Raw genomic sequence first — 19,438 nt, 5'->3', positions numbered from 1 at the left:
GTTGCTTCCCAGACACTTGTCTTATAAAGGGCCTGCAATGCACAGACTCTTAGAAACCAGTGCCCAGTTTATATCATCAGTTTGACTTTTGGAGAAACTGGGGAAGGTAGATAAAATTATATATATATACAAACACGCACACACACATATATATATACACACACACATATATAATAACGCATCTATGATGCATATATATAATGCATATGCACATGTATGGTACATATATGAGGCATATATATACATCATATGTGTGTCATACATTTATCATTTATATATGTATCATATATGTATGTAAATATTTTATTCCTTTTACTGTGTCAGATGTCCATTTGGGAAAATAATAAGATTAATGAGAAAATATGAAATAAGCTTTTGGTATAGTACTGTTCAATGAAATTTTATGAATGCCTGTCTTATTTCAAAACAGTGCACTTAATAAGAATAATCAATCTCATATTACCTTCCAGTTTTAATGTTAGTGAATAAGACTGATAATTTAATAAATCTTAGGATGATGGTGTGTATATAGTCTCTAAGTAACATGGTGAAGACCAGTTGGTTAAGCCTGGTGATGCAGCAACTCAATTGTAAGAACTAAACTGTAACAATTGAACTTAAATAAAAGACAAATGAATGAAAAAAATTATATTTTAATGCTCAAAATTATTCTTCATTGTTGTTGGAGGTATGAATAACAGAAAATGAATTATGTTATTTCCTAAGCATATAATGGGTAGAAATAAGAATGTCTTTTGAAATTTTTTTTACCAGTTTAAAAATATGACATTAAAATTGCATTTGTGCAGGAAATAATACAACGGGTATGAAAGAAAGAAAAAGAAAAGTTTTTTGCTGTGAGGAATATATTTTTTCTCCTAAGGATATGTCACTTTCACCCAAGTAATCTGGTTGCCACATTGCAATATTTCACCTGACAATAAAAAAATCATTGTATGTTATTCTTCTTCTGTCCCTGGAGAATATGAACGTTAATGATAACAGCATTGTGTCTACCTAAATGAAAACAAAAACCTAATTGTAATAATCCAGTACATACAAGTGTGCCATAATGAAAAATAAAGTAAAATATTTATTCAGATGTCATGTCTTCTTTCAATTATTTGAGGTAACATTTCTAAGAGGACTTTCACCTCCTCTTAAGTTTATGATTCTTTTTGACTTTGTAGAAAGTGACAGAATAAAAAATATTTCTTATCAATAGTAACATTGAATATGTCTGATATATTTGATCTTTCACAGGTGTGTCATATTTTTTGAAAAGAAAAAGTGATCACAAAATTCTTTTTGATGTAACCACAGAAGCGAAACGTTTTCATAAATGGTAAAACCCTCATACAATTTTGAAAACAATGAAAATTGCCTATTATTAAAATTGAAATCTTTTTGCTACTTGATACATAATTTATTTTATTGTGTGGCAAAATTATTTGCAATTCAAATTATACCATTGTGTTCAGTGCCTGGGTGATGGGATTATTCATACCCCAAACCTTAGGAGCATGCAGTATACCCAGGTAACAGATCTGCATATGTACTTCCTAAATCCAAGATGAAAGTTTGAAAATAAAATTATTCCCACTTAAAAGAAAAAAAAGAGAAAAAAAGCATCTATGGAAAACTCACAGCTAACATCACAGTGGTGAAAGCCTGAAGTTTTCCCCCCTGAGATCAGGAACAAGGTAATGATACTCACCCTTTTTAATTCTATTCAACATTATACTAGAAGTTTTAGCTAGAGCAATTAGGCAAGAAAATGAAATGGAAGACATACAGATTGGAAAGAAAGCAGGAAAACTATCCCCATTCTCTCTCTCTCTCTCTCTCTCACACAAGCGCACACACACACACACACACACTATTCTATATATACGTACACACATATATAACATATATTAATATATATGTGTTATACGATCTTGTATACACACACAAGATCATATATACATATATACATACGTATATACACAAGATCACATAATTATATATTATATATGTATATATAAATTTCTATAGAAACCATTAGAAGAAAATTAATACTAATAAGTACAGCAAGATTATAGGATTCAAGGTTAATATACAAAAATCAATTTTAGTTTTAGACACTTTAATCAAACAATTTAAAAGTGAAGTTACAATTTTATGTTTAAGAGCATTAGAAAGAATAAAATACTTAGGAAAATATTTAACAAAAATAATGCAAAACTTACTCTATGAAGATTACAAAACTGTTGAAAAATATTAAAGAAAAATCTAAATATGTGGAAAAAAATCCTATGTTCAAGGATCGAAAGACTTAATATTGTTAAGATGGCAATACTCACTAAATTGATATATAGATTCACCACAATCTTGGAATTTTGGAGTCTCAATTTTGGAAACCGACAAGCTAATCCTAAAATTTATATGGAATTGCACGGGATCTAGAATAGACAAAATAATCTTGATAAAGAAGAAAAACTTGGAGGACTCACACTTTTCAATATTAAAACTTACTAAAAAGCAGCAGTAATCAAGATAGCGAGGTACCAGTATTTATATACAGGTATAACAATGGAATCAAATCTAACATTCAGAAATAAGTAATGTGTCTATGGTCAACTTATTTTGATGAGAGTGCCATGATTATTTAATGAACAAAAAGTCTTTTCAACAAATGTTGTTGAAACATCTGGATAGCACATATAGAGATTCTTACCTCTCACAATATTAAATAACTAAATGGGTGAAAGACCTAAATGTAGAAATTTAAACTAGAAAACTATTATGGGCAAATCTGAATACCCTCTAATTTGATAATGACTTCCTAGAATGGTTTCTTAGAATGACAAGAAGTAAAAGAAACCCAAAAAAGATAATATGGTCTTCCTCACAGTTCCATGCTTCTATGTTTCAAAATACATATGAATGCAGCTTGAGGTCATTGTCCTAAGAGAACTAATGCAAGCACAGAAAACCAAATACCGCCTGTTCTCACTTACAATCAGGAGCTAAACACTGAGAACACATGGACACAAACATGGAAACAATAAACACTTGGGACTATTGGGGAGAATGGAAGGGGAGTGAGTTGAAAAACTACCTATTGGATAGTACGCTCACTACTTGGGTGATGGGGTCGTTCATGCACCAAACCTCAGAGACATGCAATTTACTCATCTAACAAACCTGCACATGTATTCCTGGACCTAAAATAAAAGTCAAGAGAAAAGAAAAAGACAAACCACCAATGAAAGAAAATATTTGCAATCATATATCTGATAAGGAGCATGTATCTAAACATATAAGGAAAACTGCGATCTGTCAGGATCTGTACACTTTAGGATAATCAGGGTAACCGTGAAAACAGCTTACCAGGAAATTAGGGTGGCTTAAATTTTACAAATAATTTCTCTATCTCTGAGTAACTCCTGCCATTTTTCAAATCCAGATTCAACCCAAAGAGAAAAGTGGCCTAGATGATATAGTTTATAGAAGTCAGCTTTCCAGGAAATGAATCTGAGCAAGATATAGAAAAGTAGATTATGGAATTCACTGAGCAAACAAGTAATAATCCACAAAAGCATTCTCTATATCAATATCTATTTCAGTCAACTTTGAAATCTGAATACTAGGGGATGCATCCTGGGGTGAAAGGAGGAAGAATACATCATACTACTATTTATCCACGTTTCATCTGTGTCATTCTGCTAAACACACCAAAGCTATATGAGGCTTAGTACCTTTAAAAAAATAGAGAAAAAATTAAAGACAAAATCAATGTAGAATTAATAGTTTATCTATGAGATCAAGGTACTGATGTCACTCTCTTTTACTGTGTGATTTGGAAAGGTTTGGAGGTTAGGGAACCAATGATCCTTAATTTTAGGCAGGACCAAGGTATCCCTTTTAGACCAACATTCCTTCTAATGTCATCATCATATCTTCATGCTCATAATACACTGTTAGTTCTCCAAAATGATTCAGTTTATTGTTAGAATTAAGTTTTTGCAAATTTTTATATTGAGTTGCAATATAGACTTTTTGGTCCTTAAAAAATAAAGAGAAAAAAACTAATCTTCCTTGAGTATGACAAAGCATAAAATCATTATGCCTTCTCAAACTTATAAATAGCACCATTATTCTTACTGTCAATAAAAAAGGCATTCCGGAATTTACATGTCTCTGATTTTCTGGCCTGGAACTCTCAGGCATTCCTACTAATAAATAAAAAATGTATGTAGGCCAGGTGCACTGGTCTATGCCTATAATGCCATCACTTTAAGAGGTTGAGGGAGAAGGATTGTTTGAGCCCAGGCTTCCAAGACCAGCCTGGGCAACAAAGGAACACCCCATCTGTTCCAAATAAAATTTAAAAGAAATTAGCCAGGAATGGTGGAACATACCAGTAGTCCCAGCTACTTGGTAGGCTGATGTAAGAGGATTGCTTGAGCCCAGGAGTTTGAGGCTGCGAGGGGATATGATCCTGCCACTGGACTCCAGGCTGGGAGAAAGAGAGAGACTTGTCTCAAAAAAAAAAAAAGTATGTAATGTGATGGATATATTTATTTATTTATTTATGTTCTATTGTGGATTTATACTTTTGGACAGCAAATAAAAGTATTTAGATTAAAAAATACTGTTGCTGCATCCATGTCTTCTAACAGGGTTGGCTTAAGGGCATGAGACACAGCTTGCTCACTCTGCGGTCACTGTGTTGACGTTCTTGACAACATTTTCCTTAAATTTGCAGTTTTAAATGGCATAAAAATTATTAATGAGGAATATATTTTTAAAGTTATTTTTTACCTAAATTGAAAATATAGCACTAAGAAAAAAACAGCCATTTTGAAACTGACCCAACAGTCCCATAGATAGGTTTGTTGTTGTTGTTTGCTGTTGTTGTTGTTGTTGTTTTTGATAAACTGAAATGGATGCTTCTGGCCTTAAAACTTAAAATTTACATTTGTTTTATCTGAGTTGCTTCCTCAGAAAATGATATTCTGGTCCCCAAAAAAACTTATCAAAGAACTGAAACTCACCAGATCACCACATTCAGACAATGAAATACCAGATCCCTCATTTATCGTGATTGCTTCCTTGCCCCTCCCTAGTTGCTGTTTTCTTACACATTGTTAAATTTCTTCCCTGCTATATAAACTCCTAGTTTTGGCTCCTCAGAGGGGGATTTGAGACTGAGCTCCCATCTCCTTGGCTGTAGTGCCTGATTTAAAGCCTTCTTCCTTGGTAATACCTGTTGTCTCAGTCATCATCTTTCAGTGCAGTGAGCACCAGGACCTAGACCAAACCTCTGGTGGTTAGGTAAAAATTTTAAGTTAGATACAACTCATGAAGTGACTTTGGTTTCTTTGTCACCACCACACAGCAAATGTCAGAGAGAACGTTAAAATGTTATTGAATACATTTATATTTAAAATTAAATTCATACTTATATCAAACAGATTTGTATACAGTTAAATCTTTTGAGAAAAATATTTCATTCCACGAAAATTATTAGCTGTAGAAGTACTAAAATTTATACTTCAAAGGAATTTATCTAAATATATTAACAGTCTACAAAATACTCTAACAGCTTCTATAGCAATTGCATCAACAGATCCTTCTCAGAATCAAAAAGTATCAAAAATTATTCATAACCATGCATTTTTAGAGTGAATAACATCACTTTTTATTTGTACCAATTAAAAATAAAGTTGATAAATATATAACTTTTAATGTCCTAATAAATAAATATTCAGGACAATATTTTATCAATCAAGATTTTACATTCATAAGGTGCTATTTTCTATTGTATTTTATAATATTGGGTTTTTTTTAATAATTTTGGAATTTTATGTTGTTTTCATGTATCATTATTACATTTTATAAGTTATAAAATATTTTTAATGGGGAAAGCTACATATTTTAATGCCTTTAAGTACAGCTGTTTGTACAAAAATAAAGCTTTTGACCTGCATTTTTATTTTGCACTAGTCCTAGCAAATTATGTAGCCAGGCCTACCTTCCAAAAATATTGGTTAGAAAAGCTTGATATAAATCATGTGCAATTATAAGCATTTTGTTGATATTGGGTGACGTGGCCTCTTCCAGAATTATAGTTTTGTTAGAAGAAAGTCAACAAAATTCCTTCTGGAAATGGCAATAAAAATATTGAAATAATGGCCCAAGAGATCTAAGTTGGATAGAAATATAAGTAGAACTAGGACAGGACAAATAGAGAGATCGACTGAACAAACAAGGTGAGTAAGCAGGCTGGATATATTTGTCAATATAGTCAGAAATTAAGATATTTAAAATTTTTGTAATGTAGTACTTTAGAATTAAGACAAAGTTTTGGCTCTGACTGTGAAGAGAGTAGATAATATGAAAATAATGTTTATGGGCAGAAGGTGAAAACAAAATTCCAGATACTGGCTGTGCCTTGCAATTGTCTTAACACTGACGAGGTGATCTAGCTACAGTAGGGGTACCCACAATGATTTGTGACAGATTAGAAACTGCAGGTTGAAAGAGCATTGAAAGTGTAACAATTTTCATTAGAGCAGCTAATATAATGATCACACACAAAGTCCATGGCTTATAAACACAAATCGACACATGCACGTCAGGTTTTTCAGTTTCCTAATGTACCAAAAATGAAATTGAGTAACAATTAACGTATGCCTTTGAATGATAAGCTAAACAAACTACTAAATCACAAAATCAATTACTCAATATCCATATAAGGTGGCATTTGACTTTTGGTTTACTTCCTTTAAGATTTGTAGTTTCCTACCTTCCTTCTCAGAAGACCATTAGCACAACTATTTCTGTTATATAAAAAGTAACATGGCTGGGAACTGTGGTTCACGCCTGTAATCATAAGACTTTGGGAGACCGAGGTGGGCTGATTACCTGAGGTCGGGAGTTCAAGCCCAGCCTGACCAACATGGTGAAACCCAGTCTCTACTAAAAATACAAAAAATTAGCCAGGTGCCGTGGCACGTTCCTGTAATCCCAGGTACTTGGGAGGCTGAGGCAGGAGAATTGCTTGAACCTGGGAGGCAGAGGTTGTGGGGAGCCAAGATCACGCCACTGCACTCCAGCCTGGGCGACAGAGAGATACTTCGTCTCAAAAAAAAAAAAAAAAAAAAAAGGAGCATAATAACAACATCAGACAGCTTAAAGTAAATGTGCAGGAAAAGTGTCTGTGTAATTTAGATGTTATAAGTCAATGTGCAACATTTGAGAACACTTAAAGCTATATAAAGTATTTTTCATGAAAGAAGGTGTCTAATATTTGGAAAGAAAAGAATATTAAAATTTTTAAAATTTTTAAAATTCTTATTTGTCACACACATACACACATAACTGAAAATTAACATGGAGAATAAAAAATAATGTATATTGTCACCAATGCCTTTTGTGTTTGTGACAACAAATTTAATGATAATTATTACATGAGAACATGCATAGCCTACTTAATCTTTACATTAGAAGACTCTTTAAATCAGGGAAGACATAACTGCTTCCTGTATCTTTCTTAAAGGATCAAAATACACCTCAATAGCTAGAATTATTTTGAAAATTTTAGCAGTATTCAAAAGTACTAGTTTTTTGTTTTTGTTTTTTGTTTTTTTGTTTTTTGTTTTTTTTTTTTGGCATGGAGTCTCTCTCTGTCACCCAGGCTGGAGTGCAGTTGTGCGATCTCTGCTCACTGCAACCTCTACCTCCCAGGTTCAAGCAGTTCTCTGCCTCAGCCTCCCGAGTAGCTGGGATTACAGGCGCCCACCACCATGCCCAGCTAATTTTTTATTTTTAGTAGAGATGGGGGTTCACCATCTTGGCCAGGCTGGTCTTGAACTCCTGACCTTGTGATCCACCTGCCTCGGCCTCCCAAAGTGCTAGGATTACAGGTGTGAGCCATTGCACCTGACCCAGAAGTAGTATTCTTTATTGAGATAATTTTCTATTGTGTTATTCAAGACACCATTGTCTTTGAGATAAGCAAACAGTATCATAATAATAAATATTAATTTGAGATAAAACTTTCATATTGAAGTTTTGTTTTACATATTAACTAAGACACTAGTGTTTGTGTGAATTTTTACATACATTTTGACAATCTATTGTAATTAATAATTAAAGTCATTCAAATTAAACAGTCATTCAAATATAGTCAAATATAGTCATTCAAATTAGCCTAAGTCTAAATAAAAATTATGTACTTATGTATCCTAGGCAAAGTATCAGCTACTTTTTAAATATTTTAATATAAATCTTCAATTATAAGATGTATTTCTAGCTGGCATTAAGAGTGTTATTGTGCCCTTTACATTTATCTGCAATATAATAGTTACATGAATAATTGATACATTATCTACTGTTTAAAAGAATATTATAGAATTATGGTCTCTCAAAGATCATGTCAAAATAGGTTTGAGGAGAAACTTCATTAAATTTTAAAAAGTCTTTCTTCTAGATTACAATAAAACAAAGTCAATAAAATTTGAAATTTACATCTATGTGTATTTTTCATTTCCATTCTAAAAAGTGACAGTGTAGACTTTTTTAGATAGATGCTATTGCACATCAACTACTTACTCAATAACTTTTTAATTAATACTTGTAACTGGAATGACTTGTCAAAGACTGAAGGTTTACATGACCCTCAGTTATTAAATAATTTAACACATATAGAAGCATCTTAGACATTCCCTTGCCATATGCATGTTAACTCTACATACTGAATTTGTCATCAGAGTGTGGTTTGGTGATCACTACATCAGAAAAAGAACTAATTTGGTTTTTCTCAAATGATTTATATTATTAAATATTTGGTGCTAAATATACATGTGTCTAAAATAGTAATAGTCATGTTACATTACAGAATTTTAATATCCTTATTTGTAATGTAAGCAGGTGAGGTTGTATTAGCTTATATAACCCTAAAATACTATTATTCCGTAATTTTATCTTGTTTTCTAAGATTGCAATCACATATTTTTACCTTCTAGGGTCTGAAAAACTTGATCTTTTCTCCTTGTTTTGTGTTTCAACTTGAATTAATACCAATTTCCATTAATTCATCATGTGTCCTTAAAGATATTTTACTATGTTTTTCTACTTTGAAATTTAACATTTAATAATTATTATTTTAAAATGTATTTTACACATCCTGTTCTATTATGTTACTTTACAGTCACAACTTTCCTAATTCCTGTTTCCGTCTGTTTATTTATAAAGGCACTTATTATATCCAAGACCGAATAGTTTAAGGTATATAAAGTGGAATGGCTGTTTACATTTTCTTTCGACAACTGGTAAACCTCTATTTTTTTCCTTCTGAAGGCATGAAAGACATGAGAATATTGATTATTGTTATTTTTTCTTTTTTTTTGAGACGGAGTCTCACTCTCTCGCCCAAGCTGGAGTACAGTGGCGCAATCTCGGCTCACTGCAAGCTCCGCCTCCCGGGTTCACACCATTTTCCTGCCTCAGCCTCCCGATTAGCTAGGACTACAAGCGCCCGCCACCACGCCCGGCTAATTTTTTGTATTTTTAGTAGAGACGGCGTTTCACCGTGGTCTCGATGTCCTGACCTCGTGATCCACCTGCCTTGGCCTCCCAAAGTGCTGGGATTACAAGCGTGAGCCACCGTGCCCGGCTGTTATTTTTTCTTAGGGAACATAGATACAGCATATCTACAGTGATTGAGAGATGGCTTTACTTAATTCAGGAAGAGAATTTGATTTTCTAATTCTATTTCTATGTCTGTCTTTTCATTTTCCTGACATTCAAATTGTTACCAGTCAGATAAAGTTATGTATGAGAATTAAGAATTACAATATATTTTAAAATATTGGAAAACATATTATTTTATTGTAATGCCGAGTGACATTCAAATTGTTACTAGTCAGATAAAGTTATGTGTGAGAATTAAGAATTATAATATATTTTAAAATATTGGAAAACATATTGTTTTATTGTAATGCAGAGTAAAAATAAGTTGTAAAATTAGTTATCTGTAAGAGTGTGTGCAAATAGGTATCAGTTCTAATTAGATGAATGTAGTACATGTGAAGTATTTGAGGTAAAAAATTAATGTTTTGAAGTCCATTTTAAAATTTTTTTTTGAGACAAAGTCTCACCCTGTCATCCAGGCTGGAGTTCAGTGGCTTGATGTTAGCTCACTGCAACCTCCACTTCCCAGGCTCAAGCCATCCTCCCACCTCAGCCTCCTGAGTAACTGGGACTACAGGCATGCAACACCATGCCTAGCTAATTTTTGTATTTTTTGTAGAGACAGAGTTTTGCCATGTTGCCCAGCCTGATCTCGAATTTTGGGCTCAAGAGATCCTCCTCCCTCAACCTCCCAAAGTGCTAGGATTACAGATGTGAGCCGCCACTCCAGCCCTGAAATCAATCTTAATGTAGTTGTAGAAGCCTTCTTAGTGAAGATTCCTCATGTCATCAGAATGAGAAAAGTCCTCAGTATGCTTATGTACAGGACGAAATAATTCAGTTAAATGAATGCAGCCTCCAAGACTTCATTGTGACCTCAATCTACCTGACATCTTCACCATTACCTGGTCCTACATAATTGATCTGCAGACTACAACTCTTTGAAACATAAAATCTGCTTTATCAAAAGATAAGTGATTTTACAAGTTTGTGTTAAAAAAAGGATAAATATATAGAGGTGATTTACAACAGTAGATCAGATATGTCACAAGAGCAATTTTTTTATTAGAAAAAATCTGAATAATGTTTGAAGTATTGTTATGTTTGAAAAACTTTGGTTCATTAGAGAACCTGACAGATCAGCCCTAAAAATCTCAATCTAACAATATAAAATTGATTTCAAATTTATTATTTTAATTTAAAAGATATATATTTTAGTAAATACATAAAGAATGAATATTTTTGCAGACTATTTTTACTATATTTACAGTTTTAATTTACTGGATTTGCATATGTTGTTTAAGTACTTAGGAATATTTTCTTGGTAAACTCATAAACTTGTTCAATCAGGAAGCAATTAACTGCTTAAAATAAAATCAAACCTAGAAAATTAATAAATAGTTTGAAACATTTAAAGGAAAATCATGAAATGAGTCTAAAAATGGAACTATTTATAAGAAATGTATACATGCAAACATTAATCATGCTTATAAATGGATTGATTTTATTTTACATAAAACTTACTTTTTTAACTTGAAATTAAAAGATAAAAATAAGTTTCTTAAGTCTATAATCTTGATAAACTGTGATTCACTTAAACACAAGCAATTCTTTTTAAGCAATAGTTGCTGCTCTTTGATATTAACTATCTCACATTGATATCTAATGGATAAAAAAGTTGTTTCTAAGTATATGAAACGATTGCCTGTGTGTGACAAATTTATATCATTGCTTTTATGAATGTTTAAAATTTCCATCTTCTTTTAATATAGTAAGAAAATAGTTCTTTTCTGCTAATTCTTGGAGAAAATTGGTTCTTTTCTCCATTCCCAAAGCTATAGCTGTTTTGAGCATAAAGTCAAAATAAAAAAGATTAGAAATGACCTAATGTGTCCATTCACACAATGTGATTAAAATTATAATTGGGACTTGGGTTTATTTCTCCTGGGATTTGATTCCAGGATTCTTTCTATGTTTCTTTCCTGAGTAAACGTCAGTGAATTACTTTATGTGCAGTTCCTTCAATCTGGCTGTGTTAATATCATGTTCCTTTGGGTGTCATTACATCTTAAAATAACTTTGTGCAAAAAAAAAAAAAAATGTTACTTCTGATTTCCAATATCCTGAGGCACTTCTTATTAAACTTTTATTTTCTTTACCTCCAGATTATGTGGAATATCTTGAGGTCCCTAATTATCACATTCTCCAAATCATATTCCCTATAAATCTATTTATAAATTTGTCCCCAAAGAGTTACTTTTGTTTAGCATAAGGAAAGAGATTTTAAATCATCTGTCATGAAAACGAATGTTTACTTAGAAAAAAATTGGAATATCTATGAGATTCCTTGATTATAAGTAGAGTCATTCTTATATAAAACTATGTAAAACTCAGTCTTCTCTTTAATAGTTTACCTTGTATCCCCTTCCCTTGCAAAACATTTCGTTCTCTTTCAGTTGCTTCTTACTGCCCACTGGACTTTCCCTTTTTCTGCATATGAATGTGGCAACTGGCAAACATAGTGTTCTCCCTATGAAATAAAAACTCTCATATGGTTAATAACTCCCTCCCCAAGGCAGAGCTTGAGGTCAATAGAATAGGTGGACATATTTTACTGGGGAGATGATGGCAGAGATGGGCAGTTTGGGAGGATGACATGAAGGGAAAGAAGTTGGAAAAGCCAATATGGAGAGTGTTTTGTCAAGATCACGGTTGTGGCTACCAGAATTAATTCTGCTGATACTTCCCAACCAATGTATAAAATGCCTGTCTGAATTTTCCTCCTGAAACACAAGAAAACTTTTATTAATTCATTTGTTAGGGGATGACCCTGGGTACCTTAACCCTTCTACATTATGGGTAACTCTTACATGTCTTCGAAAAGACCTAGAAATGGCACTGGATAGGAAATGGTAAGACTCTCAGTCCAGGCATAGGAAGGGATTCATGGGCAGAGGCTGATGTTGCACAGAATTGTGCATGGAAATCAGAGGTGTTCTAAGAAGATGAGGCATAAAGTATTAATGTCCTCTGTGTCACCACTTCCCTACCAAATAACAATGATATTATTACGCACTCATTTGTAACATATTTATATACTTAAATAATTAAATATTTGATGCACATGTATTACCCTTTTCTGTACACCAAAGCTCATCAAATTTTCTTAACTCTACATTCCCTTATGACTTTCTCCTTTCCCTTCTATCAGATATAGAAGATTTACTCAATCTAGCAAAGAAAGTCTATGGATACAAAATAAATGCTATCATAAGGTTGGGCATGGTGGCTTGCACCTGTAATCCAAGTGTTTTGGGAGGCCAAGGTGGGAGAATCACTAGAGCCTAGAAGTTCAAGGTTACAGTGAGTTATAGAACACCCCGTACTCCAGCATGGGCAACAGAGTGAGAGTCTATCTGTAAAAACAAAAACAAAGATATACACACAAAAAAAATAAATATTGGAAGAAATACTTCATGGCAAATTGGGTGTTCTTATTGTTGGTTTTGTTGCTGCTGTTGTTGTTTTCTCCAGAGAAAATAGGGTCACATGAACCAAAATGAAGCAAATGGAGACATTTTAACTCCCTCTGCTGCTGTATAATGGACAAGACCACCAGTTTCTTCAGAGACCGCCTGTCATTCATGGAGCATCTGGTTTTGTGAGATGCTGGTTACTGTCCCAGAAGGTCTGCCAAGACACTGACACCCTTATTTCCAGGACATATCTTTATGGGGCAATTCGTTTTCCAAAATATCTGTATAGGCTTATTCCCCGAGAGAAGTTGGGGCAGTTTTGACCCCTTTGACAATTAGGATGCCATTAATGAAAGCCGTGTCCAATAAACCATCTGAGACCAAAGTGAAACAGTTAGTGATTCTAGAATTTATAGATGTTGTAATTTGTAAAATTATAAATATTGTTTTACCCTGAGCTTCTCCAGAAGCAGATCCTGTAGCATATATTTACATTCTATTATATTTTTGAGAGTGCAACCCCAGGACAAAAGGGCAGGGAAAGGGGAACGAGATATCAAGCACTACTGATTGTTCCATTTTGCAGGACCCTCTTCTAAAAAGCCACACAAATGATAATTCAATATAGCCTTGCTAGGGTTTGAATGTTTGTGTCCCCTCCAAAATCCACGTTTTTAACTTAATTTCTAATGCAGTTATATTAAGAGGTGAGGCCTTTTGGGAAATGATTTAGTCATGAGGACTCCACCCCCATGCATGAATTAAGGCTCTTATAAAAGAGCCTTCACATAGGGTTCTCCCACTTTGCCCTTTCACTTTCTACCATGAGAGGATGTAGCCACAAGGCACCATCTTCAAAGCAGAGAGTAGCCCTCACTGGACACCAACCTTAACCATGCCTGGATCTTGGACTTCCAGCCTGCAGAATTGTAAAAAATGAATTTCTTATTTTTTTTAATAAATTACTCAGTCTGTATGTTTTGTTATTACAGCACAAATGAACTAAGACAAGCCTGTTGGAAAGTGGAAGAAAGAAAATTGTATTCACCATTGCTTTTCTGTTATTTGTCAGTGTTTTGCCTTATAGGACATTTAGTCAGAATTCATCAGCAGCAGCATCAAATCTTTTTGCTTCCCTGGGCCACATTTGAAAAAGAATTGTCTTGGGTTACACATAAAATACACTAACACTAACGATAGCCAAAAAAAAAAAAATCACAAAAAATCTCATAATATTTTAAGAAAGCTTACGAATCTGTTAGGCGGCATTCAAAGCTGTCCTGGGCTGCTTGTGGCCCATGCAGCCCAGTGGGTCTTGGGGGTTGGACAAGCTTGTACATAGTCCTGTGGCTTCTCCAGCCTCAGGGTCAGCAGCAGAGATCTAGTGCAGAAGTTAAAGGGTATAAGACAGGAGGATGAGATGACGTACTTTTGCATTACGATGCTTGAATTTGTCCAGAATCAACAAAATGTTGCCTCAGGAGGCCGTCATTCAAAACTGAAAAAAAAAAAGGTAAATCCTTGCTTCCTGACATGGACTTGCTCTCTCCCTCCAAGCTCCCTGATCTCACCCTTCCTCTCCACCTACATCTCAGCTATTTTAAGGAGAATAATGATTACATGTGGGATCTAGGTGACCTCTCCCCAAGGGAATCTGAAGGTCATACACATCTTCTTTTAGAAGGCTTAAATACAACCTTCTTTCTTATTTGTCTTCACTTACCACCCAGTTTAAAATTGCAAACTCAACTAAATAAGGAAGGTGATTAATAAGTCATTCCCTGTGCTCCTTCTTTGCTTTTGTTCTATATAACACTGATTATCTAACATATTATATATTTACCTTTTTAATTTATGTCTATCTCTGTAGAGCAGTGGTACCCAACCTTTTTGGCATCAGGAACCGGTTTTGTGGAAGACAGTTTTTTCACAGACAGTTGGGGGGAGATGGTTTTGGGATAAAACTGCTCCACCTCAGATCATCAGGTGTTAGATTCGCGTAAGGAGCATGCAACCCAGAGTCCTCGCATGCACAGTTTACCGTGGGGTTTGTGCTCCTATGAGAATCTAATGCTGCTGCTGATCTGACAGGAGGTAGAGCTCAGGTGGTAATGCTCACTTGCCACCACTCAACCCCTGCTGTGTGGCCTCGTTCCTGACAGGCCACAGACCACTACTGGATGGCCCAGGGGTTGGGGACCCCTGCTCTAGCACATATACTCTGTTAGGAAGGATCTGTTAGGAAGGAAGGAATTTTTGTTTTTCTTTGTAGTATCCTTAGCATGCAGAGAGGTGGCTGACACATTGTGTGTTAAATAAATAATTTGTTTTATTCAGGCATAAATAAATGAATATACTTTCATAATTAGTCATTTTTTTCTCAAAAGAGACTGGGGAAAATATCTGGATACATTCTCATTCAGTGTATAAGAAATATATTATTTTTCATGTTAAACATCTTTTTTTTACTTGTAGCTTTTACATCCCATTCTCTGTTTGTACTTTTTATGGTTATTTAGCTATAGTTCTGATGAATGGACACATTCACCAGCATATTCTTTAACAGTGAGTTAGTGAATGCTTTATTTCCTGAACCTTGGATTTGTCAAACTCATCTTCATTTTGTGCTATACAATGGATAACATGCCAGCTGGTCATAAGATTGCTGGGTCTATTCATTTCTTTTTCATGCATTGTAGAGGTTTCCCTGTTGTCATCTGTCACCTAAAGTTACTGAGAAATATAAAATCATCTCTGTATTTCCCTTTTTAAATGACCTCCTGTCTTTTTCCCTGGATGCTTGCAGGTTTCCTTCTTTAAACCCGAAGATCAGTAAGTTTACCAGAATCTGTCTCAGTCTTTTTGATCATTATTAATGCTTTTTGAGTCACTGAAATACATTGAGTGTTTTGAATCTACCTATTCAGGTTTCTTTTACAGAAAATGTTCCTGTATTTATTCTGAATATTTTGTTTCATTTTTCCTCGTCTACTTTCAAATACATCAATTATGGACATTTTATATCATAGTGTCTGTGTCCAGAGGAATAATATTCTTGGAACTCATTTTTATCTATTTGCCTTTACTGACTACTCTGTCATATTCTCCAATATGTCCCCATTATTGCTGCTGTTTTTTTTTTAATCTAAATAATTTATTTTGTAGGGTTTTATTTTCCCCTGTAAATAGTAATAAATCACTCAATGGTATTTTCCTTTTTTGATTCCTTTTTTAAATTCTACCAAGTATGTCTTTAACTTATTCTAAATTTGATTTTATCTCAGGTTGTTCATGTTTTGTTTTAAACTTTTAATTCCTCAAAATTTTGTACCATAAAAATATCCTGTTTCCTAGAGTAATTTTTCAAAATATCTTGTTAGTAACTTTTTTGTAAGTAAAAATTTCTCCATTGTTCACATAAATATATTATAAGATTATGTTACATATAATATATATTCTCAGATATATATAGATCATATATATACATATTATATATATATATATATATATATATATATATATATATATATATATATATATATATATCTGAGTCTGCTGAGTCAGCTAATTCAACCTAGCTTTTCCTCTTTCTTCTTTCCTCAAATCACTACTAAAACACTCTTGGCTAAATTCTTAAAATTCTCTGAAGATACATATTTTAGGTTCAGATTTCAGTTTAATGATAATAACCAACCAGAAGGATGCTGAAGTTGCTTGGGGATACTCTGAGGGGAATCAAAAAACTAATGGTCCTCTTCCCTTCCCAGGTTCTAAACAAGCTTTAAAATGATGCAGAGAATAGAAGATGAAGGGCAAGTTATTACCTTTTCCTAGACACAGTCCTAGGAATGCCAGACTTCTTGTTCTCAGGAGGATGCCCATTGACAGTACAGCAAAGCAGCTTGCCAACCCAAGTGTGCAGTATTCTCCTGAAAGGAAGAAATACAAAACTGAGCCAAGCTTACCTAGTTTCATTCACTCTCTCCCTTTTTTCAATTTCTCTCATTTTAGTTTTCCAATCAGATAAATAATTAAAGTAGGATAGATGAAATTAAAGAGCAGAGAAAGAGGTCTATATTTACATTAATTTTATCCACATAGAATCCCAGGATTTGGGATCTATGTGGATCTATGAGATTTCTCCCAAATCTCCCAGGATTTTGAAGAAAATATCCCCCTACAAGGTCAGGGGGCAGGCAAAATGTTTTCCACACAGTTCTCCTCCCAGGACACTGTCCTTGATGTTCCATGAGCCAATGCTATTGTTTGGGGGGGGTTTATTATCGTATGTCTTTCTCATACTTCAATTTGTACTTGAAGAATCAGGATGAGAATACTTATGCAACTCATAACAGCTAACATAATTCTTGGAATGTATTAAAATCTCAAAAGAATTGTAGAATAAATGAATGAATGAAGAAGTGAGGGAATGCAGTAATGTTTTATGAGACTAGTCTCCAAGAAGAGTATTTCTTTAGCCTCCCTACAGTTCAACAGTACTTTTCATCCTCCTTCTGCTGTTCAATGAGACACCCATGCACCTGGAACTTTCACTCGTGTCCAGAAACACAGTGTACCCTCTTGGAAATGAATGAAAGTCACAGATATCTGCAAATATAGATCTCCAATTTTGTTCAAAATGCTTGGTATCTTATAATTAGCTCTGAATGTATGTTATAAATTGAAATTCTTAATTGCATAATACAAAGGAAGAAATCATGTCCATCTTCAACAAATCTGTGTAGCCTAATCACAACAAATTTTTATTAACTTGCATAATATTGTCTGGGAATTACAGAACTTTTTAAGGATGTATTTGGTCAACTATAATCCTTTAAAGATGTGAGACTCATAAAACATATATATGTAATAATAAATAATTATTTTAAAAAAACAAAAATAATAGGCTGGGCACGGTAGCCCACGCCTGTAATCCCAGCACATGTAATAATAAATAATCATTTTTAAAAAAACAAAAATAATAGGCCGGGTGCAGTGGCTGAAATCCCAGCACTTTGGGAGGCTGAGTCGGGCGGATCACGAGGTCAGGAGTTCAAGACCAGTGTGGCCATCAGAGTGAAACCCCGTCTCTACTAAAAATACAAAAAGTTAGCCAGGCGGGGTGGCGGGCACCTGTAATCCTAGCTACTCAGGAGGCTGAGGCAGGAGAATCACTTGAACCTGGGAGGCAGAGGTTACATTGAGCCAAGATTGTGCCACTGCACACAAGCCCCTATGACAATGCGAGACTCCATCTCAAAAAATAATGATAATGATAATGTAGTTTAGGGTCAAATTGTATATAGAGTCTTTCTCCCTCAAGATAATTCAGGAGTTTCACAATGCAATAATGTTAAAAAGCTAACTTAAAAATGTTGAATGTTAATAGTCATTTATAACCGATATGTCATGTGGCAATACATTAATATATTTTCCTTTCTAAAATATAGTCGTTATGTTGAAACTATACATTGTTGAATGAAGGAAACAAAACTTTTCTATCAACTTTTCTACCAATATTCAGACTACATTATAAAAAATAATACAATAGGCTACAATTATGCAAGCATGCTTGGGAAAAACTTCATGTAATAACGCAGATATTATTAGAAAAAACTATAGTGCAACATGAGATATTTCCAGAATAAGCAATAAATTAAAAAGCAGAGAGTAGAGTTTTTCCTTCCTAAGGTGTCTGCTCTTCGCTTACCTGAGGCCATTTCTCCATATGAGCTTTGGAACCCAAGTGATATGGTTTGGTTGTGTCCCCACCCAAATCTCATCTTGAATTTTATCTCCCATAATTGCCACGTGTCATGGGAGGGACCCAGTGGGAGGTAATTGAATCATGGGGGCGGGTCTTTCCCACGTTGTTCTCCTGGTAGTGAATACGTCTCACGAGATCTGATGGTTTTATAAAGGAGGGTTCCCCTGCACACACTCGCTTGCCTACCACCTTGAAAGATATGACTTTGCTCCCCATTAACCTTCCACCATGTTTGTGAGCCCCCTCCAGCCCCCTCACAGGAACTGTGAGTCAATTAAACCTCTTCCCTTTATAAATTACCCAGTCTCTGGTATGTCTTTATTAGCAGTGTTGCAGTGCTACTGCACCATCCCTGTTCATTTTCTCAGCAACTTTCTTTATCTTATTATTTTCCTGAACCTTCCTCACATCCCTCTCCTAGATCATGCACCTCTATGTGAAAATGTACTACAGTGCCCCAATCTACCCTAGACTCTATCCACTCAATGACTGTACTCATGTCTCTTTCACA

The 19,438-nt window shown here is 34.2% G+C and overlaps 1 long non-coding RNA gene across 3 annotated transcripts in view; it reads left to right on the top strand.

Moving 5' to 3' along the window:
- The window catches only part of LOC105374655 (uncharacterized), a 213,260-nt gene that overhangs the window by 11,199 nt on the left and 182,623 nt on the right, over positions 1 to 19,438 (top strand). Inside the window, exon 3 of one of the 3 annotated variants that reach the window (NR_188268.1) lies at positions 9,404 to 11,567. The exons of the other annotated variants lie outside the window; for them this stretch is intronic. This is a non-coding gene — a long non-coding RNA (uncharacterized LOC105374655). Of the gene's footprint in view, positions 1 to 9,403; positions 11,568 to 19,438 lie in introns of those variants that run through there. 3 annotated transcript variants of the gene reach the window in all.

This window comes from Homo sapiens, chromosome 5 (assembly GCF_000001405.40).
Source record: "Homo sapiens chromosome 5, GRCh38.p14 Primary Assembly".
In the NCBI taxonomy this organism is placed as follows: Eukaryota; Metazoa; Chordata; class Mammalia; order Primates; family Hominidae; genus Homo; species Homo sapiens.
The sequence above is the reverse complement of the archived record's forward strand: the minus strand, read 5'-3'. Positions and strand labels throughout refer to the sequence as shown.